The 7997-nt window shown below is 48.7% G+C and overlaps 1 annotated feature.

Annotated features, from left to right (window-relative positions):
• Nucleotides 5445-5994: an enhancer, noted in NCBI's record as "H3K27ac-H3K4me1 hESC enhancer chr1:203995579-203996128 (GRCh37/hg19 assembly coordinates)". NCBI's record gives its function as "activates a minimal SCP1, AML or CMV promoter by ChIP-STARR-seq in naive H9 embryonic stem cells {active_cell/tissue: H9 hESC(naive)}" and the evidence as "EXISTENCE:reporter gene assay evidence [ECO:0000049][PMID:30033119]".

The following is a 7997-nucleotide window of genomic DNA, read 5'->3' as shown; positions in this document are numbered from 1 at the left end:
GCAGGTTTCTGCCTATCTCTCACTGCCAGGACACTGTCAAATGTTCCCTACAGCTACAGAAGATGAGAAAAGAAGATACTCATTTTTCCAGCCTCTAGAGTGGAGACTGGTAAGGGAAAGGAGGTTCAGAATGGGTGTGGGGTAAGCCAGTCTATTGTTAGATAAATGCTTGTTGACCCAAATTGCTTCCCCTTAAAAAAGACAGGTTGTTCCATGTGAAGGCATCCGGGGTATAAAGGATCTCTCACCCATGTCAGAGACCCCTCACCCACCACACCTGGGCAGCCCCTGATGGTCTACCCAGGCACCTGCTGCCATGGACTATGGCCACTAACATCTCTCTCTCTCTCTCTCTCTCTCTCTCTCTCTCTCTTTCTGGGAGGTTTGTCCCACAGAAAGCCACATCATTGAGGAAGCAGAAGGAAAAGAGAAAGTCTGTCTTAACTTCCAAGTAATAAAATTCAGGGCTGTTTTCTGTGGCCAAAGTTAACTGTTCAATTAACTCAGAGAGGAAACGTCAAACCAGTTATCTGGGATACTGACTAGCTCTCACCTTTCCACCAGCTGCCTGGACTTGAAGAGCCAGCTGGCACTCAGGTCCTGGGTATGTGGGGGCCTCCTTCCAGCCAGCTTTCCTCCTCACCCTCTCACCTCATTTCTGCTGCTTCTTCCACCTGGTCCCACCTGATCTCCACATCTGTTTACCCTTAGCTTGGGCTGCCTCCCATCCGTCCTCTCTCACCTGCAGATGGAGTATCTCTGAAGCTGACTATGCAACCAACACCTCCCTCCCTCCCTGCCCCTCCTTGGACTCTCCACCCAGCAGCAGTGGGCTGGCAGGAACACCCACCTTCCTAACCACAGGCCCCTGCCGGGCGCACACACAGTACTTGGATTCCCCGGAGCAACGCGATGCTGTTAGATGTGGTGGGAGGGTCAGGATCTGGGAGAAATTCTGAGGGACTCACAGGCATGACTCACATTTGGCATTTGGTGGGTGTCTGCCCACTTGAACATGAAGACAGGCACCTGCCCACCTTCAAGCATGCCTGGGGTCTCCTGCTTGAGTGGGCAAGTTTTTGCTTCTGCAAGACTGCAGGGAGCTCATTGGCATGTCCTTCGTAGGGGCAGCAGCTGGCCTACGGTGCTGGTCGGTGGGGGGAGTCCACAGCAGGAGTCCACAGCAGGAGCCTTGCCCAGCAAGGATGTTGCATCTCCTGGTGATTAACGGACGAGAGTCATTCCCATCGACCCTGAATCCCAATAGCCTGAGAATGGGGTGGGGTGGTAAACAAGGGTAGGCAGATACAGGAACAATTTCCAAAAGTCTAGGTTAGCCCTGCTGCTGTGTTGGTGAAGGCTGGTGAGGGTGCAGGCAAAGGGAAAAGGGACCCTTTCCTAAACTGTTGGTAGAAATATAAATTGGCTTAGTATTTCTGAAGGACAATTTGGCCTTAACTATCAATTTTTATTTTTATTTTTTTTTGAGACAAGATCTCACTCTGTGGTCCAGGCTGGAGTGCAATGTTGCAATTGTGCAGTAGCGCAATCATGGCTCACTGCAACCTCCACCTCCTGGGCTCAAGTGATCCTCCCACCTCAGCCTCCCAAGTAGCTGGGACTACAGGTGCACATCACCATGCTTGGCTAACTTTTTGTATTTTTTTTTTTTTTGGTAAAGACAGGGTCTCACCATGTTGCCCAGGCTGGTCTTGAACTCCTGAGCTCAAGCAATCCACCTGCCTCAGCCTCCAAAAGTGCTGAGATTACAGGCGTTAGCTACCATGCCCAGCCACCTATTAAATTTTATTTTATTTTATTTTTTGAGTCCGTGTCTCACTCTGTTGCCCAGGCTGGAGTACAGTGGCGCAGCCTCGGCTTACTACAACCTGCACCTCCCAGGTTCAAGTGATTCTCCTGCCTCAGCCTCCTGAGTAGATGGGACTACAGGCGTGCAACATCACGCCTAGCTAATTTTTGTATTTTTAGTAGAGATGGGGTTTCACCATGTTGGTGAGGCTGGTCTCAAACTCCTGACCTCAGGTGATCTGCCTGCCTCTGCCTCCCAAAGTGCTGGGATTATAGGCATGAAGCACTGTGCCCAGCCACCTATCAAATTTTAAATGGGTAAGTGTATATCTAGGCTGCAGATTTAGTTCCACACATGTATTATCTTAGCAAGGTTTCTCCCAAGGATTTGGGGGAAACAGAGGACTTACATTTTCTACTTCATACACTTTTAGATTTATATTTTTTGATGATGAGCATGTATTAACTTTCTAATTATAAAAATAGCAAAAGGGTGGCTGGACACAGTGGCTCACGCCTGTAATCCCAGCACCTTGGGAGGCCGAGGTGGGCGGATCATGAAGTCAGGAGATCGAGACCATCCTGGCTAACACGGTGAAACCCTCTCTACTAAAAATACAAAAAAATTAGCTGGGCATGGTGGCAGGCACCCGTAGTCCCAGCTGCTGGGGAGGCTGAGGCAGGAGAATGGCACGAACCTGGGAGGCGGAGCTTGCAGTGAGCCGAGATTGCACCACTGGACTCCAGCCTGGGTGACAGAGCAAGACTCCATCTCAAAAAACAAACAAAAACAATAGCAAAAGGGTTACCAACATTTTCCTATACTTCAAATGTGTGTAAGTGTAGGTAAATATATTATCATCACCCTGGGGACAACTCTGGCCTGGGGGCTCCTGAATTCCACTGGTGGAGGTTTTTACGAGTCAGCAGAGTCAATGGGGATGTGAGGTGCCTGGTAAGGGGATTTGGGGGCCATCAGAGAGGGCAGAGCATCCGGCTTCATTTGCCTGGGGGCAAGGGCTGCCTCATGGATCTCCCCAGAGGCCTAGACTCCCAGCATCCAGTTTATTAAGATGAAAAAATAGAAAACAGGAAGAGAAAAAATAATATAGCAGACAATAAAAGAGACAAAGTAAATTAAAAGAAATAAAAAAGATTATTAAAACGATATAAAAGACAGTAAGCAACTAAATGATTAAATGAACTAAAAATAGCCCCCGACTCAGCCTGAGACCCTCCAAGGCCAGTCAACTCTGGAGGTTGCCAAGCACAACCACAGGTTCCCCCCAAGCCCACAGTCTGAACTGCACCCAGCACGAGGAGGGCCGCGAAGGTAGGGTTCGCCTTGCTGCTCAGTCCTAAGTGAGGACACGGGCTGATCCTTTGCTCCTGATGGCCGAGCTGGAATCTGGTGGGGCTGTTCAGACAATCTGAGTGAAGACCTGGGCCCCTCAGAGGGGCTTTGGAACGTGGAGATGTGTGTGTTCCTGCAATGACCAGGTACGCTGGCTCTGAGTCCCCTGCGGCCCCGTTCCCAGTCTGCTTCCTTGCCTCTCAGGCCTGCCTTCTCCCTTCGGAGAGAGAGTGATCTTCAGGCTTTCTTATGGGGGACCTTCTGAGCCCCAAGGCACTCTCAGGCCACTTCTCCCTGGTCTCACATCCTTCTAAGGATCTGCCCACAGCTAGGGTAATTGTCAGATGTGCATTCCCTACAGAACAAAAGGACAGAGCAGGCCTTGCCTTAGCTCTGAGCAGAGGGTTTAACCGGCCTCTCTCCTCACAGGAATACATTTCCCAAGGTCGGGGTTCTTCAACCTGGCATAGCCTCATGAGGAGACGAAAGCATGCCCCTGGGTGTGTCTAAGGTCCTCTTAGTCTGGCTGTAAAGGGCACCTCTGGCCAGGAGCGGTGGCTCAGGCCAGGTGCGGTGATTCACGCCTATAATCCCAGCACTTTGGGAGGCTGAGGCGGGTGGATCACCTGAGGTCAGGAGTTCAAGGCCAGCCTGACCAACATGGATAAACCTTGTCTCCACTAAAAACACAAAAATTAGCTGGGCATGGTGGCACATACCTGTAATCCCAGCTACTCAGGAGGCTGAGGCAGGAGAATCGCTTGAACCTGGGAGGCGGACATTGCGGTGAGCTGAGATTGCGCCGTCACACTCCAGCCTGGGCAACAAGAGCGAAACTCTGTCTCAAAATAAATAAATAAATAAATATAATAAAGGACACCTCTGCCAAGCTGGGAAGAATATTATGCCTTGCTATCCTGCTGGCAGCTTCCTCTCTGTGCCCCATCTAGCAATGGCTAGAACTGGGCCAAATCCTCACTCGTTGCTCTGTGATTTACAGGCACAACACCCTCTACCTCCCTATGGAAAAGAAGCTGCTATCACCAGGGGAAAGATTAACTGGTACATGTTGTTGCATCCTCACCATAGAGCACTCCTGAGCTCTTAAGAGGCTGACGTGGGCCTCTTAAGGCCCACCCATATGTGGGCCAGGAAAGGCTATCTATGCTGGGTCATTGAGGCCCAGGGTCTGGTCTTCCAGAACAAAGAAATATTTGCCCAGAATTAAATCCCCATCACCTGTAACAGCTTCCTGCTTTGAGACCAAGGCTTCAAAAGTCCCAGGAGCAATGCTTGGTCAAGGCTTGAGATTAAATGTTGAGGGGCTCCCCACCACACAGAAATCTCCCTAAGGAAGGAAACGTTCCCAAGTACAGAGCAATCTGGCTCCCAGGGAGGTCAGGGGACAAATTACCACTGTCTGCTTCTCCAAACCCCAGGAGTTTTTCGCCAGTCACAAAAAAACAGCACAATAACAGTAAAAGCGAGAAGATAAGATGAGATGAAAGAATGTCATATAAAATCATAAAGAACAAAATAGAGATAAGGAATGATCAAGATAAGTAAAACAGAACTAGAGGACTCAAAGATGAAAAGGAGAAAAGAGATAAATAAGCTTTTAAAATTATACAAAAAAATACAATCAACAATTTATGAGATTAGAAGCTGAGGTTATAAAAACAAAGGTTTACAATGTTCAAATAGCCCCAGGCAATGGAACCTGAGCGGCCAGCAGCCTGCAGGGGTCTTCCTGGTCTCCCACACAAAGGCAGAGTTTGAAACCCCCTTTAACCAACTCCAGAGCCCTTCTAGGCAACATCTCACTGCTTAAACACCTTGGGGCCATTATTTCTGACTTCTGATTTTTGCTGATGTCCATGAGGTACTATCCAATTCATCTTCTGCCTGTATTTCCAAAGCAAATGTTATTGGGAACTAGTAAAATACAGGTCCACAATTCCTAACTCTCAATTCAGAAATCCAAAAAGCCATGAAAACCAAAACTCTGTCATCTCTTACTTGATGGCATAACCTGATCTAGCCTGAACTTATTTGGCAGCAAAACCTGACCTGAACTGAGGTGAAGCTATTTATAGGGTGAATCTTCATTCATTTCCTTGCAGAAATATTAATGTGCTTGATTTGAGGGAACTGCCACAGAGCTTGCTCTGGGAGTTGTGTAATACAGGGTATGTGCATCTTACCTTACTAAAATTCTGAAACACATCTAGCCCTAAGGTTTCAGATAAGAGATCGTGGACCTGAATTAAAATCCTCCACCAGATAGAAGAATAGGAAAACAAATGGTAGCATATTCACACAATGGAATACTACACAGCAATCACAATGACCTAGCTGCACTACACTCTACATAATGTCCAGAAAAGAAGCCAGACACAAAATTCACACGTGTTGGAAGGCTCAAGACTACCTTGTATTTGTTTTGTTCATTTCTTAAATTCCACTGCTATAGAGTTCAAAAACAAGAAACCTAATCAGGTAGGATTTCTTTCATTTAATCTTTCAGTAAATATAGGCCAGTACCCCGATTACCTCTTCCCACCAGAGCCTAAGCTGACCACTCTGGAGAATGTACTGCTAAGCCCCACGCTGACAGCCCTGTCGCCAATGCAGGACCAGTTTGTTCCCTCTCCACCTTCCTCCCTCTGCCTTTGTCTCCAGCTCCTCTTTGTTTTGCCCCGGTGGAGTGGCTCACGGGATGGTGGCGATCTTGTCTTTTCATGCTTTTGTCCTCACTCCATCCGGGGTCCCTGTCCACCCTCTTCCCTGGCCATTCACATAGGCGTTTTATCTTTCTTCATTCCCTCTCCTCCTTGGCTGATGGGCTGCCCGATCCCCACGCGGCCCAGTCTCTTCCTGTCCTTATGTCTCTACCGTCTGATGCTTGGGATCCGCTGGTTTTAGGCTTTTGTTTGGGCCGCAGGGCGTTCTCTCTGCCTCTGCCTCTCACTCCCACCACCCTCCCTTCCTTCCCCCTCATCTCGATGTCCTTTGTGGGACATTCACTTTTATCTCCCTTTGATTTTCTCTCTCCTCTTTGTAGAGGGAGAATGAAAGGCTCAGCTAATTGTAGCAGTGGGGCAGTGACGCCTGGCTCCCCTTCCCAGCACCTTCCCCACCAGGGCTGAGCAGAAAGGGAAATGAGGGCAATTCAGACTCCCACCGCCCTAAGCCTGCTCCAGATCTCTCTCCCCATGGACTTTCCACCCCCAGTTTTTGCAAGGGGAGATTAGATAGTACTGGAGCCCCTCAACTCCACCTCCACTCAGTCTCCCTGGACTTGCCCCTTGTTCACTTTTGTATTCACTGTGCCCTGGTGTGTGCCAGGCAGCAGGCAAGGTGCTGGGTGCAGAGTGGCCAACCAGATGGATGTGCAGTCTCTGACTTCATGTCCCAACATGAAGCAGGTCGGGGCTATGATAGCGGAATTACAGTGTCGTCTTCAACAGAGGGACTGAACTCAGAATGGGGCCAGGGACCAGCTCCCTGAGGAAATGATGTCTAAGTTGAGAACTGAAGAGGACTTAGAGGAGTCTGGACAGAGAGGAGGAAAATGTGTCCTAAACAGAGCATCCAGTTTAACAGGAGAGAGCATGACATAAAATTCATTATGATCAGAACATGAACTGGTGGGAGCCGGGTGATGGGGTCTTGTAAGGAGCTTGCAATTTATCCTAAGGATGCAGGAAGTCACTGAAGTGTTTTCAGTGGGGAATGGGACAGATCATATTTGTGTTTGGGGTGATGTGGGGAACAGGCTGAGGGGGAACAAGACTGGAGGGAGGATTAGGACATGTAGTGCTTCCCTGTGGTTGCTGTAACAAATGACCACAGATTGAGTGGCTACAAATCACATAAATGTAATACAAATCACACAGGTCTGGAGGTCAGAAGTCCAAAGTCAGACTCACTGGGATAAAGTTAAGGTGTTGGCCGGGCGGGTTCCTTCTAGAAGTTCAAGTGGAAAATCCGTGTCTATGTCTTTTCCAGCTTCCAGGGACCATCTGCATTCCTGGGGTCATGGCCCCTTCCTCCACGTTCAAAGGGGATGACTCCAACCTCTGCTTTTGTGTTCATGTCTCTTCTCTATGTCTGACCCTCCAGCCTCTCTTTTTTTTTTGAGATGAAGTTTTGCTCTTGTTGCCCAGGCTGGAGTGCAATGGCACAATCCTGGGTTCAAGCGATTCTCCTGCCTCAGCCTCCCGAGTAGCTGGGACTACAGTCACTTGCCACCATGCCCGGCTAATTTTTGTATTTTTAGTAGAGATGGGGGTTTCACCACGTTGGCCAGGCTGGTCTCAAACTCCTGACCTTCAAGTGATGCACCCACCTCGGCCTCCCAAAGTGCTGGGATTACAGGTGTGAGCCACCACGTCCAACCCAACCTCTCTTTTATAAGGACCTTTGTGATTACATTGGGCCCCTCTGGATAACCCAGGATAACCTCCCTATCTCAAGATCCTTCATTTAGTCACATCTGCAAAGTCCCTTTTCTCATGCAAGGCAAAATATTCATAGGTTCTGGGGATTAGGATGTGGACATCTTTGCCAGGCCATTTTTCTGCCCACTGCAGGGGACTGTCATGGTATTTGAGATAGGAAATAGTGATTGGTAGCAGTACAGATGGAATCAAGGGCATAGATCTGAGATAACTTTAGAAATTAGACTAATTGGTGACTGATTAGATATGGGACGTTGGGGAGAGAGATGAGGGGAGATCATGTCTGGTTTTCCGACTCCAGCACTTGACAAGATGGGGATATGGTTTATAAGACAGAGAACACAGGAAAAAACTAGGTGTCAGGAGTGGAC

This window comes from Homo sapiens, chromosome 1, assembly GCF_000001405.40.
Source record: "Homo sapiens chromosome 1, GRCh38.p14 Primary Assembly".
Classification (NCBI taxonomy): domain Eukaryota; kingdom Metazoa; phylum Chordata; class Mammalia; order Primates; family Hominidae; genus Homo; species Homo sapiens.
Note: the sequence above shows the minus strand (reverse complement) of the source record. Positions and strands in the feature narration are given on the sequence as shown.